General features: G+C 40.3%; 1 protein-coding gene across 17 annotated transcripts in view; it reads left to right on the top strand.

Annotated features, from left to right (window-relative positions):
* The window catches only part of SORCS1 (sortilin related VPS10 domain containing receptor 1), a 607,476-nt gene that overhangs the window by 581,490 nt on the left and 5,812 nt on the right, over positions 1 to 20,174 (top strand). For 15 of the 17 annotated variants that reach the window (XM_017015617.1, XM_047424547.1, XM_017015615.3 and 12 more), the window contains one exon: positions 2,199 to 2,298. In XM_017015617.1, coding sequence (XP_016871106.1) covers positions 2,199 to 2,298 — 100 coding nt within the window. Of the gene's footprint in view, positions 1 to 2,198; positions 2,299 to 11,988; positions 20,169 to 20,174 lie in introns of those variants that run through there. The other 2 variants (XM_047424548.1, XM_011539201.4) reach the window with 1 other exon arrangement.

Raw genomic sequence — 20,174 nt, 5'->3', positions numbered from 1 at the left:
ATTACTTTTGACCAAGTCTTTCATATTTGAATAAAAAATATTTTTTCTGAAATTCTGTATCTGTGTGTGTGCATGTATGTGTGTGTATTTCATAGCTAAAACCTTTGTGATAGACCTCTAAAAACTCCACTGTCTGATTCCTATAAAGACTCTGCCAATTAAAAGATAAGAACACAGAGGAAAACCATTGTATGCAATCTGTGTTAGAAATCCACTTCTCCACTTCTCCTTCTCCTTCCCCTCCCCTTCCTTCTCCTCCTCCTCCTCCTCTTTTTTTTTTTGAATTAGAGTTTTACTCTGTCTCTGAGGCTGGAGTGCAGTGGCATGATCTTGGCTCACTGCAACGTCTGCCTTCTGGGTTCAAGTGATTTTTCTGGCCTCAGCCTCCCAAGTAACTGGGAGTACAGGTGTGCACCACCATGCCTGGCTAATTTTTTGTAGTTTTAGTAGAGATGGGATTTCACCATGTTGGCCATGCTGGTCTCGAACTCCTGAACTGAAGTGATCCACCCACCTCAGCCTCCCAAAGTGAGCCACTGTGCCCGGCCAGAAATCCACTTCTGTAAACCTGAATCATTCTGGTTGATTCCCAGCACCCAAGAAAAGAAGTAGCCTAATACACAGAATAAAGTTGTTTTTGTTTTCAGCATAGTTTTATGACAATCTTGTTTTTCTGCATTGTTTGCTAAATGACAGCATTTGAAAGGCTGGGCTTGCTCTGGATCCCAGGTGCTCAACGACTGGGCAGTGATGGTCATCCTCTGTTCCTGTTGTTCAGGAGAGAAGTTTATCTGTGGGGCAGTTCAGTTCTGTCACCAATCAGGGGCTTCTGCAGGTGACTGTCTGTTTCCAAACTAAGCCATCAGGCCCTGCTTAACAAATAAAGGGATTAAAGGCGTTATTTTGGCAACTCACTGAAGGAAATAAAACTCAACAAATAGAAAAGGAAAAAAAAATTAAGAATTTAATTAGCAGAATGATGGTCAGAAAGCATCTAATTAGACTTAAATAACATGTTAAGTAAAATATTAAGTGATTATTAGAATATTAAAAATAAGGCTAGCAGACCAGATAAAAGTAATAGGAGTGGGCCGGGCGCAGTGGCTCATGCCTGTAATCCTAGCACTTCGGGAGGCTGAGGCGGGCTGATCACAAGGTCAAGAGATCAAGACCATCCTGGCCAACATGGTGAAATCCCATCTCTACTAAAAATACAAAAAATAGCTGGGTGTGTTGGCTTACGCCTGTAGTCCCAACTACTCAGGAGGCTGAGGCAGGAGAATCGCTTGAACCCAGGAGGTGGAGGTTGCGGTGAGCTGAGATTGTGCCACTGCACTCCAGCCTGGCAAGAGAGCAAGACTCCATCTCAAATAATAATAATAATAATAATAATAATAATAATAATAATAATATAATAGGAGTGTTGTTATCCCCGTAACTTTTCAGAAATTCCTCAACATTATAAAGGACACAGCAAATGGAGCTAGGTTTTCTACTCTAAACAGACGAACCATTTTACCTCATCCATAAAACCTTACCTTACACTATTTCTACCCAAATGAAGTTATTTGCCCCGTGCTTGGGGTTAAATATTTCATAGTCCAGAATTCCATGGGTCTGCCCGGTATCCGTGTGTCAGCCTGAGGAACAGTTTAGATAATATTTATAAGCATGAAATAAAGGTTAGCCAATTTGTTACTTACGTTGTGGCTGTACTTTGTTTCAATTGCATATTTTAGCAGAACTATATTTACCATACAATAAATATTCATAAAGTGTTTTGTGAAAATCACATGGTTTGGGAAATAGAATGGAAGTAAAATGAATATATATTAATCTTATCGGAATGTGTAAATTGTATATACTTCTTTTAAGTCCTCATGCATAACAAATGTTCTCTCAAAAGACTGGGGGTAAGTTTTCTAAGATCATACAGAATAATTTTTAAAGAGTATAATTATTTTCATTCACTAATAGTTTCTTCTATTTTGTTGCAATTAGCACGTAAAGACAGGTCATGCTTAAAAATAATTGTATCTGCATATTCTGGAATTAAATCAAAATCATATAAACCTTATTTATATAACTCACGGGTATAATATTGTGATACCTTGGTGAAAATAGTAAATATTTCTAAGCTTATTGGTTTATAATCAGTATGACACTTTTGGTGTCACTAACTATGCTTCTTTTTTCAGATATCAGAATTGCTGATCCACACGCTCAACCAAAACTCAGTACACTTCGAGCTGAAGCCAGGAGTCCGAGTCCTTGTCCATGCTGCTCACTTAACAGCGGGTCAGTGTCCATGTCCCGGGGTTCTGGCTGGTGGCTCTGGCAAAGGGAATCCTAGTCCGTGCTTCCTTCCTCATAAAAAGGCTAGATGGTAACAATGCTAATCAGAAATCAAATCAGTCATCGGATCTTGGAGGTTCCCTTGCTTGGTGTTTCTGCCTTAATGGAGAACCGTTAAACAACAGAAAAAGGTGACACTTTCAGCTGGGTTCAGTGGCTCATGCCTGTGATCCCACCACTTTGGGAGACTGGGGTGGGTGGATCACTTGAGGTCAGGTGTTTGAGATCAGTCTGACCAACGTGGTGAAACCCCATCTGTACTAAACATACAAAAATCAGCTGGGCAGGGTGGTGCATGCCTGTAGTCCCAGCTACTTGAGAGGCTGAGGCAGGAGAATCGCTTGAACCCGGGAGGCAGAGGTTACAGTGAGCCGAGATCACGCCACCGCACTCCAACCTGGGTGACCCAGTGAGAAGGTAATATTTTATACTTAGTCTCTGGCAAAAACTGTCAGCAAACCGCTTATATACGTCTCACATGGAAGCATGCTTTATTTATCTCATCAGAAATCCTGAAAATAACATTAACAAATACATTTGTGGGGGTCTTTCTGCAAAGTCTTATTTTCAACATATTCATATTACAAAGAATTTTCTTTCTTTACGTTTCAGGATAATGTAACGCAGTAGAGATAGCAGGAACTTAGGAGTGGTACAGGGCCACACCCAGGAATTGAACCTGGAATTGGTCATGATCTTACAATTTACTTAATGTCATTGAGCTTCCATCTCTTCAACTGAGAAGGTGGTGGTGAGGATGGGGGATCCTCCTTCTAAGCTTATGGAGAGTTTTCAATAATAATACAAGTAACTTAGAATAGATGATAACACAAGTAGCTTAGGATAGTTTTCAATGATAATACAAGCACTTAGAAACAGACATTGTTGTGATGTATTAATAATAAATTAACAATATTTATTGAGTACTTATTTTTGCAGAGTACCATGCTGGTGCTCCATGGAGTACAAACACCAGTGCAAAGTGGTCTTCATCTTCACAAAACTTATAACCTGGTTGTGGTGTGGGGAAGTTCGGTGTAGCAATGGCAGTGGTACTGTGGGATGGGAAGAATTGGCAGTGGAGAGTAGTCAGTGAGCAAACTGCATAAATGCTTATAGAGAGAGAGACTACGTAACATATTTAAGCACTTGGATTTTTTTTTCCAGTCAGAACATTGGTTTCAATCTTGGCTTTGTTACTCACTATGGAATCCTGGGAAAGACATTTAACTTCTGTATGTCTCAGAGATGGTAATAGCATCTCTGCCAGTGGGATTGTGTGAAGATTAATTCAGGTAATGCACTTAGGATAGTGTCTGAAACATAGCTTTAATATTTATTTTTACTGTTATTATTATTAGCAACTAAAGCTGTATAGGAAATTTAAAGCAGGTATGAGTTATATCCTGTCAAAATGATACAGGATTGTTTCATGGAGTAGGTGGTTTCGAGGAAGAACCTTAAAGTATGGATAGCATTAAATGCAAGAGGTCATTCTAAGCACCAAAGCACCAAGGAAGTAAAGCCTAAAGGGCTTTGGGGATGCTGAGTAAATGAGGACAAAAAGTAGCTATTGCAAGCACCATTCTCTGGTTTCCTGGAGATTTCACGAGGCTCTGCTAGGTCTAGCGGAAGGCCAAGCAGGCTGACCACTGACTTCTTACCTTCTTGGATTTTATCTTTTTTCTTTATTGGATTTCATAGAATATTTTATTGCTCTTGTTGTTTTTTCAATCCCACTATTTAAAGTCACTGTTCCTCAGCATGGAGTATGGAGGTGTGGAGGGTGGAAACATGCCAGGGTGTGCCGTTTGTACTTACTTTAGTGAGTAAGCCATCAAAGGTCTGGGAAGCCATCAAGACCTTTGAACAGAAGTGTGACTGATTCAGAGCATTCCTTGAAAAAGATGAGTGTAAGGAGCAAGGAGGATTGAGTAGGGCACATCTCCTATTCTGCATCTTTTCACCCTAACACATCCATTGAACAGATATTTACCGAGTGCCTGCCTACGCTGGGCCAAGCAATGTTGTCAACATAGGGGACAGAGTCTCTGCCCTCATAAACTGCTATTGCTGGTAAAAGCCACTTTCTGAATCGTATGCTGGTGAAAATTCTCTGAAGAAAAGGCTGCCACTGCCAACTTATCTCAGGGCATTTGATGGTCCTGACTGGCCTTTTCCTACCCAAAATGTTGAGCTTTGGTGTTTGGTGAATGGGGGTAGCACATGGCAGAGTCACACATGACTAGTTGTATGGGAGAATGATCAAATTCCAGAAACAAGAGTTGTAGTCATCCTAATAGCCAAGCCACTGACAAATGTCAACTGAGTAGAAAGTAACCACTGAATATCGTTTTAAAAAGATTCACTGATTTATTTCATCTAATCAGACCATGGAGCCTGTTTAGGTAGCAGACTGAACTTCATCAGCCACTACTTGTTCCCTTTGAGTTTAGAAATTAAAAACAACTAAGCCGGATATTCCATACTGAAGTCTGGGTTTGAAGGGATGTGGCCAACTTGTCTATCCTTCATGATGCAAAATTTGCTTTTATAGCATAAGCAGCCTTTGAATGAACACTATCTTTAGGTTTGGTGTATCCGAACACAGTGCCTTTTTTAGTCCGGAGACCTTGCTCTGTTGAACAGGAGAGCACTGGAGGTCAAGCTAGACCTGGAACTAACCCTATTTCTCCCATTCTTCAATTCTGGAGGCCATTCACATTTCACTCTTTTTCTTCCTTCCATACTTCTCCTCCATCTGTGTCTGGTTTTTATTTAACTGATTATTGCATTATGCTCTAATGATGGTTCAGATCATTTTGGAAGATAATGAATGTTCCCACCACAAAGAAACGATAAATGATTGAAATGATGGATATGTTAATTACCCAGATCTGATCACTATGCTTATGTATCACAGCATCACTATGTACCCCATGAATATGTATAATTGTTATGTGTGAATTTAAAAAATTTTAAAAGATTGATATGTTAACCGTATTTAACTTTAGGGAGAAGTGGTATGTAAAAAAAAGGAAACCTTATTTTAAATGTTACTTAAGGAAACTTTCTTCAATGACAAATAGTTTAGAGCTGGGACCAAGCTGAAATATTGAGATCAAAAAGTGGGTAATTAGCTGAGACTGGTTTGGCCAGCTGGCTTGGCCAGAGAAACTGAATACAGCAAAGGCATCCAAAGGTCCTTGGATTTATAGCTCCATGTGGGAAGGGAAGTCAATTCCTGATAACCATGATATGTTAATCCCACTGGTAAAAACTCCAGATGACAAAAAATAATGCAAAGTTGGGAAGAACTGAAAAATGTTTCCAATTCATGTTTGTAGTTTTTTCTATAACTAGGAGTTTCGGAAGCAGGACTAAGACTCCTGGGAAGAAGGGCTGGCAAAAGGGAGGTATATTTTGGGGACCCAGATATGCACACTGAGATTTAAAGAAGAACCCCTTGCAGTATAGGTATGTGTAACACAAAGTCACCAAAGAAAAAAATATCCATTTCCAAATAAAAGCCCAATCTTAGCCTGGACCAATTTGGAGAGAGTGAGAAAATTCTTTGACTTCCAACCATTGTAGAAATCTTTCCTGTTAGTTTTGATAGTAGGGTCTTTCGGCTATATAATTCCAAGCCTGATCAACTGGCATTATTAAGTTTTCTGTCATGGCTAGTTCAGCAACTGGAGTAGATATAGATTTATATGTGGATAATTAGCTCCAGTTTGATAAGTAAACAAAGATAATGTCATGGGCTGATGGAATAACTGAGTTTTGGAAACTTTTGCTATATTGAGTTTGGCTATGCTGGTCATAACGCATTAGAGCTGGCGGTGTCCACAGGAGCACAGTCACTCAGGGCTCGATTTTCTTATGCAAAAGACAAACGTGTCAACGGGAACAGCAATTGTGATAAGGAAGTAAAATATGGGAGGGATCTGTTTCCTGTTGGTGATTGCTCCTACGTTACCTTTAGCTACCTGATTAAAAGAAAAAAAGAAAAAAAATATTTGAATAGGGTGGTAGACCCTACATATACAAAAAACAGTGGAGGGAATTCCCCCTTCACTCATGGAAAACTTGGCACTTTGGTAGGGTATCGGTGGGCCGAGACACACTTGCCACAGTTTTGTTTCTTTTTTTTTTTTTTTTTGAGATGGGGTCTCACCCAGTCACCCAAGCTGGAGTGAAGTGGCATGATCTCGGATCACTGCAACCTCTGCCCCCTGGGCTCAAGCCCTCAGCCTCCCAAGTAGCTGGGACCAGATTCATGCCACCATGCCCGGCTAAGTTTCTTTGTGTTTTTGGTAGAGACAGGGTTTCACCATGTTGCCCAGGCTGGTCTCAAACTCCTGAGCTCAAGTGATCTGTCTGCCTCAGCCTCCCAAAGTGCTGGGATTACAGGCATGAGCCACCACAATTGCTTTTATTAGGTTGAAATTAACACATTAATATTTGGGTGGCTAGGAAGAGAAGGAGAAGGAAGCCTGAAAAAAAAAAAAAAGAGAAACAGTGGGGAGGAGTATTAGATGTAGAACTTCCACATCAACTCTATTTCTCTTTCTCTCATCCCCCCTGTAGGCAGGGGAAAATAAAAATTAAAAGAAAAAAAAAAGAACCATTGTTAGCAACATTTCATGTCTCATAAGCAGGATTGCTAATACCTTCCCAGGGACCATTACAACATGCTGTTGCATCCCATTAATTGCTCAGCAGATGTTCAGCAGCCTTCTTTTAAAAATGTTTGAGCCAGAGTATGTTGTTGGTGAGAGAAGCAAATGCATAATTTGGTTTGTCTCCAAGGAAAAAGAACTGTCTCTTTTCAAGAATTTACTAGCCTTATTTTGGTTTTCAGATTCACTTCCCTGTTTGCTTTTATGGGAACACAAGGAAAGCATTTGCAGATACCTGAATGTCATTAGAGACTGGATGGTGTCTGCCCCCCACCCACCAACACGTTCCATTTGGGAATTCATTAACTGTGGTATCTAAGCTGAGCTAAATTTTGAATGTAGTCCTTGTTTTGTTCCTAGCCATTCCTGTGGTTCTTGGTTTTCATGCAGTTTTTCTTAAGGGTCTAACCACTCCTGACAGGTATGTTTCTGAAATTCTCTTTGCGGAAAGGAGAGACTTGAACCTGTATGAGAATAAGGGAGAATGAGAAACATGTTATCCAGAAGGTTGAGGGAGGGTCATGGCCTGAGTGGCTCCCTTTGACTTTTAGTACCTGATGGCAGCTGGCATCCATGTTTAGCAAACAAAGGCTATGATGTTGCAAAAACAATACAAAGAGTTGGAAAAGGGAATAGAATGCAGTCAAGCTAGTGTTAGACTGGAAGCACTGCTGTCTTGACCAAAGTGTACGTCTACTCATGATATTCCAGATTGGAATATTTCTCCCCACTTCTTCACCTATTTCTCCTTGTCCACCTGTACTTTAAGGCTCAGTTCAATGCCAACATTTGCATGACATCTTTCCAGAGACATTTGCCTGGACAACATCTTCCCCTTGTCTGAAATCACATGGATTTCTAGATCTTTATCTGTCTGATGTTGATGATCATGACCATCACCTTTTGAATCACTCCTATTTAATTTCTTTTGGATATAGTTCATCATGTCTTTATATCAGCTTCTTCATATATCTTTATATCATCTTCATCATTTTACCTAGCAGATAACTTGCACATATCAGGTGCTTAACAAATATTGTTTTTATGAATAATTATATGCATAATTTATAGCCTGCAGAGATATATTCAAAATCCCATTCCCGCAGTTAACCTTCAGATCCAGTTTATTCAGTTTATTCATTTGTGAACCTGTCCCCATGACATGCTTCTTCTTATCAAATAACTCATCAGTGGAGACTTGCATTCATTTACACAATAAGCATCTAGGGAATCTTTGTATTTTTTTTTCTTATGGCAGGTGTTCTTTAAATATGCATTGTAATTGTTTATATACACATTGTGGGGAATGGGCAGTTGAAAGAAAACTGGGCCTATCCTTCCTGGAGTTCTACGTCCCAGAAAGAGAGATCTGAGAGAGAATGGGAGAACGACTGGCAGGCGACTGTTACCAAAAGAGACTGAATCACTGGTCCCTATTTTATTGCTCTGGCCACTGGAAGACATGGTTTCAGTGTCAGAGCAGCTTCACTTCATGGCATAGCTCATGGTCACGTACCTTGGACTGCACACTCCTCACCTTAACAAACCAGCCAAACCTTCTTCACATCTTCTGTGATGCCTCCCTTGTCCTCCCCATCTCTCGTGTATGCATTTGCCCTAGCCTTCTGTATCGTGTATCTTAAGAGCTATAATGGGCTGGGTGCACTGGCTCATGCCTGTAATACCAGCACTTTGGGAGCATGAGGTGGGTGGATCACCTGAGGTCAGGAGTTCAAGACCAGCCTGACCAACACGGTGAAATCCCATCTCTATCAAAAGTACAATAATTAGCCAGGCATGGTGGCGTGCACCTGTAGCCCCAGCTACTCGGGAGGCTGAGGCACAAGATTCACTTTAACCCAGAAGGCAGAGGTTGCAGTGAGCTGAGATCATGCCACTGCACTCCAGCCTGGGCAACAGAGCAAGACTCCATCTCAAAACAAAAACAAAAACATAAAACAGCTATGATGTCATTTTAGGGAGAGTTTTTCTAGCAAGAATCTGGAAGGCCCTGAATCTAATGCACACCATTTGATCCATATAGTTACTTGTGGAAGAACAAACCTGAGCCGTTAAGAAAATATCCCTAAAGTGCCAATAGTTTTCTCATTGACCCTAGTAACTTGAAATGTACTCAAGGGCAGGATCCATTTTTAGATTTATCATCTTATTCTTCACATGACTCTATGCCTTACTTTGAAATTATTCCTTTAAACCTATAGTTTATCAGGGCATATGAGATGAGTGAGGGCCCTCACTCACACTGAGCTGGCTAGACCTGAGGCACAAATACTAGTTGCATGAAACTTTACTAAATTCTAAATGAGGAGAATGAAAAAATGTTCTATGCAGAAGATTCAGTAAAGCTGAGTCTTTAAGGTTGAATAGGAATTCACCAAAAAAAGAGCAAATAAGCATTGCAGGTTGAGAGGCCAGGTTGCACAAAGGCACAGAAAGGTGGAATTATATGGTTTATGTATAAAATTATGTGTTGTCTGACATGGATTGGGGCTTCTAGATATATACCCTCAAATATTCATAATTAGTATATTTACTGAGGGTAAAATAATGAGCAAAGGGAGAGGGATAAAATTCAGGAAAAATAATATGCTAGTATATTATAAACTTTGTTGTCCATCATCCATTGTGCGCTAGTGAAGAAATTTTATTAATGCAAATTTGAGATGATAAGGTATAATGAATTTGGAAAATGAAAAAAAGGCTGCTAGAAGGATTTTGGGGTTTTTTCCTTTAATAATAGGTTTGGGCAAAACTCCATTATCATTTCTATTTTTAACAAAGTATTTACACACAAGTTTACAACTCAAGTGGCAAGTGGCAAGATATGGTAATTTGTTTAGTCGAGATGGAGACCTGGGAGGTGGAGCTTGTTTTTTTTTTTTTTTTTTTTCGTCGTCAAAGACGATAAATTTGGTGGTTCATGTTGGGTTGGATGTCATCAAACATATAAGTGAAAAACCCCATCAGGAAGCTGGAAATATGGAATGGAAACTCAGGTGAGAAGACCAGGACCAGAATATACATTCAACTATGAGCTTTAATTTACCATCTCATAGCAGATCATCAGGTGAGGGGAATCTGCTGACAGGTGATAAGTTAAAGCCTTAATTGCCGATTTAAATCTTTCAAGCTCTATCAAACCCTGTATCTTTGTTCTCATGAGAACCCTTGGTCATGAGTAAATTTAGTCCTTATATTTGGTGGGGAGAAGGAGGGAGTGGGAAATGACTTGAAAACCTGTTGACTCTTCTAAGACAGAATAGGTAAGGTTTCCATGAGAATAGAAAGTAAAAAGAGGGCAAGCAAGGGGCAACACTGACTTTTATTTGAGAAGGCAAAAGCCTAACTAGATGGATACCTCCTAAATAGCAAATAACAACCCTTTAGGGATTATGTGCCCTTCGTAAGTTATGTACTGGGCAAATGAACTGCAATTTGGATGGTGGGACTTCTGCTCAAAGAACTAAAAGAGCTGGAGCTGACTAGTTCCCTCAAAGCATTTGAGATACATGAAACCCTGCCCCATAGTTAGAAAACTCTTTCCAACTCAGGGTGGGAGATATCTGCTATAAATAGCAGCTGTTCTCAAACGTGACTTTACATTGCAATTAACTTAGGAAGCTTTATAAAGATAGAGATTTTCTAAGCCTCACCACACACAGTGAAGAATCCCAAGGAGCCAGGAATAGGAATCTTCTTTTTTTTTTTTTTTTTTTTTTTTTTTTTTGAGATGGAGTCTTGCCCTGTCACCCAGGCTGGAGTGCAGTGGCGTGATCTCGGCTCACTGCAAGCTCTGCCTCCTGGGTTCACGCCATTCTCCTGCCTCAGCCTCCGGAGTAGCTGGAACCGCAGGCACCTGCCACCACGCCCGGCTAATTTTTTGTATTTTTAGTAGAGATGGGGTTTCACCGTGTTGGCCAGGATGGTCTCGATCTCCTGACCTCGTGATCTGCCCACCTTGGCCTCCCAAAGTGCTGGGATTACAGCCATGAGCCACCGCGCCCGGCCCCAGGAATCTTCATTTTTAGCAAGTTTCTGCTAATGATGCTTACGACGGTGGCCTCTTCACTGGTCTTAACAACCACTGTTCAACAGCCTTTCACAGACAGAAATCCATCTGCATAACAAGGAAAGGTGAACGACTATCTCCAGTAATAAATCTGATTTACAACTCAAGCCATCCACTAAAACAGAAGCATGAATTAAATAAGGAGAGCCTGTGATATTAAGTACAGGAGGAAATTAGTAATAAATATTAAAATCTAATTTCTTGGAATATTTGGAGCTAACCTAATTGGCAGAATGGGCAAATGACAATGAGGAAGGGGGAGAAAATGAAACATGCCCCTGAATCTGGGGCATATTAAATCCATAATCTAGATGAATGGCAAAGGCCAGCCAAGAGCTGTGGCCATGAAGCAGTTGAAACATGATTAAAGTGTGAACTGGAATCTTAATGGCAGATGTAATTGAACAGCCTTGAGTTTTATGAGAGTTAAACAAATAATATTATCTAGATGCTGTTCATGTGCCAGTGTGAGCATAAAATGATACAGCTACATTTCACTATATGTCTGTACATATTTCAGAATTCAGAGGTTGCCCTACGCTGGGCTTTCCAGTTTGGTCGCTGTTCGTCTGGAGTTCTGGATAAACGCACATTATAAAAATGGTAAAGGGTTAATATTTATCAAAGGAAGAGCCTCAAACCTCAGGTTAAATAAAAAAACATGACCCCCCCCAAAAAAAATACACAGGAACTTTGCTTCTACCTCCTCCTGTCTGTCTATCAGTTGCCTTATTTAAACTGCTCGGTTCAGGAAAACTGTCCTTTGTCAAGGGTATGTGTGGGTTTTTTAATAAAACTGTTATCTTGTGTTATCTTGGCCTCTATGGCTGCTGCTGACTGGTTTAATTTCTTTTGCAGGTGTAATAAAAAGATGTTATCACAGAGATATTAGAGAATTAATATTTCCAGGCTTCAGTTGCTACCACTGGATGTGTTATGAGTAAATTTGGGAGGGAATAAGAAACTTCAAATTTCGACCTAGGTCGTGATACATCATGAATTCTGCACTACAATTTCACATTGAGAAAAAGACTTTCCACTTGAAGGGAGAATTACCGTTCGTCAAGAAGTTTTAGAAACTACAATATAATCTCAGCCACAACATTATGGATGCAGATGCCAAATAGGAGTTGTGGAACTCTGAACTGTAAAGTGAAGTAAATTGTTGCAATAACATTTTCCATTTAGGGATGAAATTAGTACTGGTGAAATTCTTCCACAGCCAGTAAGTTTATCTGTCTCTTTAGTTTTCGGTCACCGTATTATCTACATAGTAATCATTTACAAGTCTTTTTTAAGTAAAGCCTTGGTACCGATATGTTTTCTTCCTTTTATTTTTCCCCAAAATAAATATATTTTTTATCTTCAAGTAATTAGGTAGTTGCACAGATACATAGACCCAGCGGCTTTTCATAGTTATTTAATCATTATGGTGTTATAAACAATAGTGGGTTTATCATGTAGATATATATCTAAATATATCCCTCCCCGCAATATGATTAAATGTGATATTTTCATCTACCTACCAGCGTGCAGCAATGAGGTTGCTCGTTGGCTTCGTTTAGACACAGAATCTAGTTCTGTTTTCCAGTCTGGAGGGCAGGGGCACATCATAGCTCACTACAGCCTTGAACACCTGGGCTCAAGCGATCTGTCTGCCTCAGCCTCTCGAGTAGCTAGGACTACAGGCACGCACCACCACATCCAATTAATATTTTTATTTTCTGTAGAGACAGGGTGTTGCTATGTTGCCCAGGCTGATCTCAAACTCTTGGCCTCAGGAGATTCACCCACTTCAGCCTCTCAAAGCATTGAGATTGCAGGCATGAGCCACCATGCCTGGCCTAGCTTCTAATAAATTCTTTCTTCACCATTTCTTTTTTTCTGAGATTACGGGGGACCGTAAAAGGGGCTGAAATGATTACAGGGTAACTAGACTGAGTTAGCCAGGCTAGAGGATATGTCTGGAAACTCTTGGTCAGAGAATGGTCAGCAAGGAACAGTCAGATGAACAGAAACAGGGGCACAAACATGCGTCAGAAATGCAGTATCCCAGGGGAAGGCAAGGCAGATAGTCAAGAGAAATTAGCAAAAAGAAAAAAAAAAAGTAAAGCAAAGGGGAAGGATAACACATATAAAATACAGACAAGATGCCAGAACATAGGACAAGCTACCCTTTAGACACCAAGTTTCTGATACCTAGAGTGATCAGGACTGTCCTGGGTTATCTATGCTATATCAGCGTAAGCTTTAATAGCGCCCCCTTTCATTCTTAAAGTGTCTTATCTTTGAAAATAATATGTATGGTCTTCTTACTTTTACCCTGCCACCCTGAGAGTGGGGATAGAAGACTATACCAAAAATTGGCTAATGTGGAGCTCAAAGGTAATAATTGGTAATTGAATGTTTAACCAGTTGAAAGAGACTTTTGAGGAAAGTAAATAAGCTATTGCTATGTAACAAACCACCTAGAAGTTCAGTGGCTTAATAGTAAGCATTTATTTTTGCTTATGCGTCTAGTCTTATCTACATTCACTTGTCTGTCTGCAATCAGCTATGGGTTGTTGGTTGGGGAGCTCTGCTGATCTTGGCTGGTCTGTCTCACATGTTACGGGTCAGCTGCCTGCAGGCTGCTCTAGCATGCTTTGGTTGGAATAATTAACCTGGCCTCTACATGGCCTTTCATCCTTTGACTGTTCTGGTCTTGCTCACACATGGCAGTGGTAGGATTCCAAGAGAAAAAGCAGAGGTATGCAAGGCCGTGAAATTCACAATTAGCACACCATTGCTTCCATTGCATTCCATTGCCAGATGCAGATTATAATAATAGCTCAGATTCAAGACATGAAGAAACAGATTTTACCTCTTGCCTTTTAGGTGAGACAAGCTTCAAACTCATTGCACAAAGTTTAGACACAGAGAAGGGTAGAGGATTGAGCCAGCAATGTAATCCATATCTACATGAGGCTGACTGCTCACTTAGGGGAGACTTGAGATGCTTTTAGGTAGTTTAACAAACTTTCTTCTGGAGCCATCACCAGATTGAGCTACTATCAACAGCAAAGGGGAACATTTGTGTGTGTAGGGGGGTATTTTTGCTTTGTTTTAGTGATCCAGAAAATATAAAAGTCAGGCATGCCCTAAAGACAGGACTGGAAGTTTTATGAGTGAGAATATCTGGGGCCTGCTATGCGGTATTCTCAAACTGTTATACATAATAATTACCTGGGTACCTTGTCACATATATGGATTTTGGAGACCTACTCTCAAAGACTATACATTTTTTTTTTTTTTTGAGACAGAGTCTCACTCTGTTGCCTAGGCTGGAGTACAGTGGCACGATCTTGGCTCACTGCAAGCTCCACCTCCCGGGTTCATGCCATTCTCCTGCCTCAACCTCCCGAGTAGCTGGGACTACAGGTGCCTGCCACCATGCCTGGCTAATTTTTTTTGGACTATACATGTTTTTTTTTCAAGTGAAGCCTAGCTAACAATATTTTCACAAGTGCTCCAAGTAATTCTGATTCAGGTAGTCCATAAGCTACACTTTGAGGAATATTTCACATAGTAGCCAGGAATCATCACCTTCCAACCTTAGAAAACCATAAGTCATTCTTCTCCTCTTGTCTGTTTATTATGATGATGGTTGGTCTTGGAGTTACTGATGTTTGTCATTACTTGGCTAAGTGACCTCAACTCCCTGTCACTGGATATTACTGAAGATTCACCCTCAGTTTAAATTCAGAAACAATGCTTCACTTGTCATTAGAGCTACTAAAGGACAAACTGAGACACATTAAAATGTTAAAGAGTTTATTTGGGCAAACAATGATTCATTAATCAGTTAGCACTAGACCACAGTTGATTTAGGGCTCCCTAAAAGGCATGAGGCTTTTATGGGGTGAAGGTGAAAGCTAGGCAAAGAAAATATTTGATCGGTTAAAATGGAGGAATAGCCTTCTTTGGATAATTCTAGTAGAAAGTCTCTCATTAGATATTAGCTAGTGGTTTCTAATTGATTAAGCTTAAGTTTTGTTTTCCTAGAATATGACTGTTTACTCTTTACTTGGGTTTTGGTTTGGTTACATAGGAACCCAGGACGCCAGAGCTGCCTCAGTCTAATGGCCTCCCAATTGGCTACTTTAACAAGAGACTTCCCTGGAAATTCCCACCTAGTCTAGTCTGCAGTCTTGTGGCTTTTTCCCAATAACATAGGAAACTTTAAGACTCTGATGATTGGATTTGTTTCTAAATGGAGGGAAGGCCCATTGGACAACTGAAAGTGCTCTGTAAATGGAAGCCTTTCTGCCTATTCTGCATTCTGGATAAACTTTCTCTGTGCTATTCCCATATCACTGTAATTTCTGAAAAAATATTTCAGACCACATGGATTTTGTGATATTCAAAGCATATAACTCAAGCCTGAATTGAGTCTACTTTGGGGTCAGGAGAGGAAAAAAGAATATCAAGGTATGGTAAATTACTTCTACAACATCCTGAAAACACTAACTCTTGGATTAGAATTAGAGTTGAAAGTTTCGGGGTCATAGTGCAAGTAGCAGTTCTCCAGGAATGTCCTTTTGATAGAATGAAAGTGAACACTGGACAACAATAAGATTGTTCTGCATGGCTTCACTGGGTGATGCTACCATGTTATTGACCTTAAAACTTGGAAAGAAACCGAGCAAAGGGCAAAACTGCAGCAAGGGGGACCGGGTGCAATGGCTCACACCTGTAATCCCAGCACTTTGGGAGGTCAAGGCGGGTGGATCACTCAAGGTTAGCGTTCGAGACCAGCCTGGCCAACATGGTGAAACCCCATCTCTACTAAAAGTACAAAAAAAAAAATTAGCCATGCGTGGTGGCAGGTGCCTGTAATCTCAGCTACTCGAGAGGCTGAGGCAAGAGAATTGATTGAACACAGGAGAAGATTGCAGTGAATCGAGATTGTGTCACTGTACTCCAGTCTGGGTGACAAAGCAAGACTTCATCTAAAAACAAAACAAAACAAAACGAAAAAACTGCAGCAACAGGGAAAGCAGTGCCTGGGGAGAGGCATTTCCTAGAGTGTTATGTGGAACCTAGTTCTGCAAAGGGTCTGTGGTCAAATGAGTTTATGAAAGACTATGGTAAAGTTAAATGTGTTCTTTTCTGCAAGGGCTGCTGTGATCATTTAATATACTGATGTGCATTGTGAATCTCCATATGGGGAATGTTGTATGTATCATTGCCCCAAATTATCTCACCAGGGAACTGTCATCATTTTTCAGGATTTTTTTTCTGTAGAAGAATACACTTTCAGAAATATGATAGCAATAATATGACAATGTTAGAAATATTGGGCATGTAGTCTGTCCCAAATACTATGACAGTACTTTATAAATTCCATCTCATTTTAATCTCACAAATTTCTAGACTAAACACTAGTTTCGTCTCCATTTTGCAGATGAGGAAACTGAGATTTAATTTAAGTCACTTAGTCTATAAGTGACAGAGCCAGGTTTGATTCTGAAAAGGGCTCATATCATTACTTAACCCCAAATGTGGAATTTTGAATTTGTTCTCATACATACAACTATAACCATTTATTTAGCACTTACTACGTGGCAATCACTTTTCACAAGAAGATTGTTGTTATTATTGTAAGTGTTCCCATTATTATCGTTCCAGGTCCTCATGAATAAAATATAAAAATTCAATGCATTTCCAAATTCCTCAGAGGATTTTAGAAATGATATGTGCAAGTACGCAGGCTTAAAAATGTTGAGTCACTTGGAGTACTGCTGGTATCCATGTTTTACTTTGTGCATGAATAATGGCAAAAAACTGCTCAGCACTTTCCCCTACACGTCTACCTTGTTTAAGCTGCAACTGGAAAGGGATTAAAGTATGCTAATTCCACACAACAAGCTAAAGCCCATTTATCACAAGTTTCCATCCCTCAGCAAAACACACACAAATGCACCTAAGTGCTGGGCAAACTAAGAAATGCAGCTGCTGTTGTATGGAGCAATAATAGGTCCCTTTATACTCAGGCACCAATCAGCAAGCAGACACCACCCACGGAACAGAGGGCAGTGGTAGTCAGTCTCTGGCCACTGCTGCTGGCTGCTTCCTGCTTCCTGCTTCCTGCCTCTGAGAAATGACTGACTGATGCAGAGATGGGGAGGGTGAATGGATAACACACATTTTAGAACTGGGATACAGAAGTTCATTTTCCCAGAATAATATGCTAATTACTTAACAGTGTTAATGCTGCTTGTTGAAGAATGATGATTTAAGTGTAAATGATTTAGAATCGAAAGACAACCTGGGGATGGGGAGAGATAGGAGGAAGGAAAGAGAAGGGAAAAGGTTCATGTGTGTGTGTGTGTGTGTGTATGTGTTTGTGTGTGTGCATGCATGCATATGCGAGTTTGCTGTGTTGCTGACAGCTTGGACAAAGTAATTTTCTCTCAGTTTTCCATTTATTTCAAATGCCAACCTTTTCAAGCAAGCTCAGTATTCTTAGTTGCTTCATATCACTGGTATTCTGGTTATGCTGAAAGAGCATTTAGTTAGGAGTGAAAAGTTTAGCTTTATTTCAACCTCTAACCATCCCAATCATCTGTGGCCCCTTCCGAGCCTCCATTGTTCCCTGACAAATTAAGGGTTTGCATTAGAATATTGCCTTTAAAACATCTTCCTAATATAATTTCCTTGATGTGATGATGGTATTGTGGTAATGATGAGAGAGAGAGAGATCTTATCTTTTAGAGTTATAGGTGGTTAAATTATAAGTTTTCCAAGATTTATTTCAAAATAATCCAGTGGTTGGAGGTTGTGGGGACTGGATAAAATAAGACTGGCTGTTGGTTGATGGTTGTTGAAGCTGAGTGGTAGGTACATGAGGCTTCATTTCTGTATTCTGTGTGTGTGTGTTTGCATGCACACATACATATCCATACATATATATACACATATGCATATATGTATACACATACCTGTCTTCCAAACGTAAGCGTACATGATTTATTATTCCTACTGCTCCTTTTAAAACTTAGTATTTTAACTTGTGCTCCTTGTTAATTTGCTTTTTGTGCTATAGTCTTAGTCCTAATCCCCATCCTCAGAAATATGTCTTTTACTGAAATTAGCCCAGGATTGAGTATATAGAAAGTGTGTGTGTGTGTGTGTGTGTGTGTGTGTGTGTGTGTATGTATGACGATTCAGGTTCAAGTCTTGGTTCTTCCATTTACTAGTAAGTACTAAGTCCTTTTAAAACAACACTAACCAATGAGAACTTCATTGTTATCTGTTTAATGGGGATCATAGTCACTGCCTTCCATTTGTGAAAATCAATTGTGATAATGTCTATGACAAATGGAAGGTGTTCTCTTCCCCTGATGACATCCTACCAGTTGCAGGGTGAGTTCTGAAGAATTTCTGAACCTCTCTGCCGATGGCATTGAGAGCTTTGTTTTCTAATTTTGAACCAAAAGAAAATTTGCCTTGGGCGTTCCACGGCAGTGGGACCCCACCCATCTTTTACACACAAACCTACATATTCCCATTTCAAAACTGAGGTGAAGTTTGACTTACAGGGGAGAGAAAATAGCGGGGGGGTTCCTTATATTCAGTGCCTCCTGAAAGCCAACTCTCCTGAAATGACTATTTTCTGAGAAGGAAGGGGTGGCTTTCATTTTTCACCAAAACTATGTGGTTAGATGGAATATGCTTCCCAGTATCAATACAGAGTGGCCGAGATGTAATCCTGAAAAGAGTAGACAGAGCAGAAGCAACTGAGAGTCTTGTCTGAGACCATCAGTATTATAGTCACTTATTCTTGAACTTTTTTACCTGGGTGATTAGAATGTTGCCCTCTCGGCTCACACCAGAGAAAACCACAGAAAATGGTGATTAAAGGTCACCTGTATTTCTGGGTATCAGGCTTTGCTTAAGTTGATGGAAGGTAAAGGTCAGCACCAAGGCTTCCCTGGAGTACATGTGGCTTGTCTTTTATGCACGAGCTGCACTACATTTGCAAAATGTCAACTTTTAAGAGGGTAGAAATTAATTGCAAAGTCTACAGGTACAACAGGTTTGACTGTGAGATGGGGGAAGGTGGAGAGGTGGCGAGAAGTGTTTTCCAGACTGCACCTCAAGGGGAAACTCAGGGAGGGAGACTCTTTCATGGAGGCAGAGGCTTCTGTTTTGTCTGAGAGAAAAACTCACTGTGTTTGAGAGGCTGGAGCATCTTGGGGAGGGCTGTCAGAGCTTTTGGGAGATTGTGGAGACAGCCAGGTGGCATATCCCTCCTTCAGCATCTCCGCGGCTACCCTCGTGAAATACTCACTTGGCCATCAGTTTCCTGTGTACAAAAATACAAGCATGCTCCATCACTTTGCTGTTCTTTCTCTCACGTATGACAACTTTCCAATTATTTTTCTCACATGACAACTACTGGAGTAGGGGTGACGGGGTGGTTGAATTCACAAATGTATTCCTGCAGGTGGTTTTATTGGCAATCTGTTTTGCTTTGTGGAAAAAGCTTACACTCAGAGTATAATAAAATATAATTATTATATTATAAATATTGATTAATAATACTAATACTAGCAGCAGTAGAAATGAAATCTAATAGGTACATGACTTACTATGTGCCTGGCACTTTTCTCAATGCGTAACATACATTAGCTCACTTAATCCTCATAAGAACCCAATGAAGTATATACCATTATTTTTATTTTACCACATAAGGTACATTAAGGTGAAGCAAATTGCCCAAGACCACATAGCTAGTTAGAGTGGGACCTGAATCCAGACAGCCTGGCCCTGGGGTCTGTGCTTTTCATTGCTCTGCTGCAGAGCAGGAACATTTGGGGTGGGAGTAGGGGTGGGCTCAGATGCATCCCATGTCAGCCATGTGACATGCATCTTGTGTGTATATCCCACATGGTTTTCCAGGACTTACCTCTGCTTGTGTGTGAAACATTTGAGCCTCTCATAGAGTCTCACCTGCCCAGTTCTCTGCTCATTTTTCTCTGCTCTGTTTCCCCCACAAG

The sequence above is a fragment of the Homo sapiens genome, chromosome 10, assembly GCF_000001405.40.
Source record: "Homo sapiens chromosome 10, GRCh38.p14 Primary Assembly".
Lineage (NCBI taxonomy): Eukaryota > Metazoa > Chordata > Mammalia > Primates > Hominidae > Homo > Homo sapiens.
This window is presented reverse-complemented; position numbering and strand designations above follow the sequence as displayed.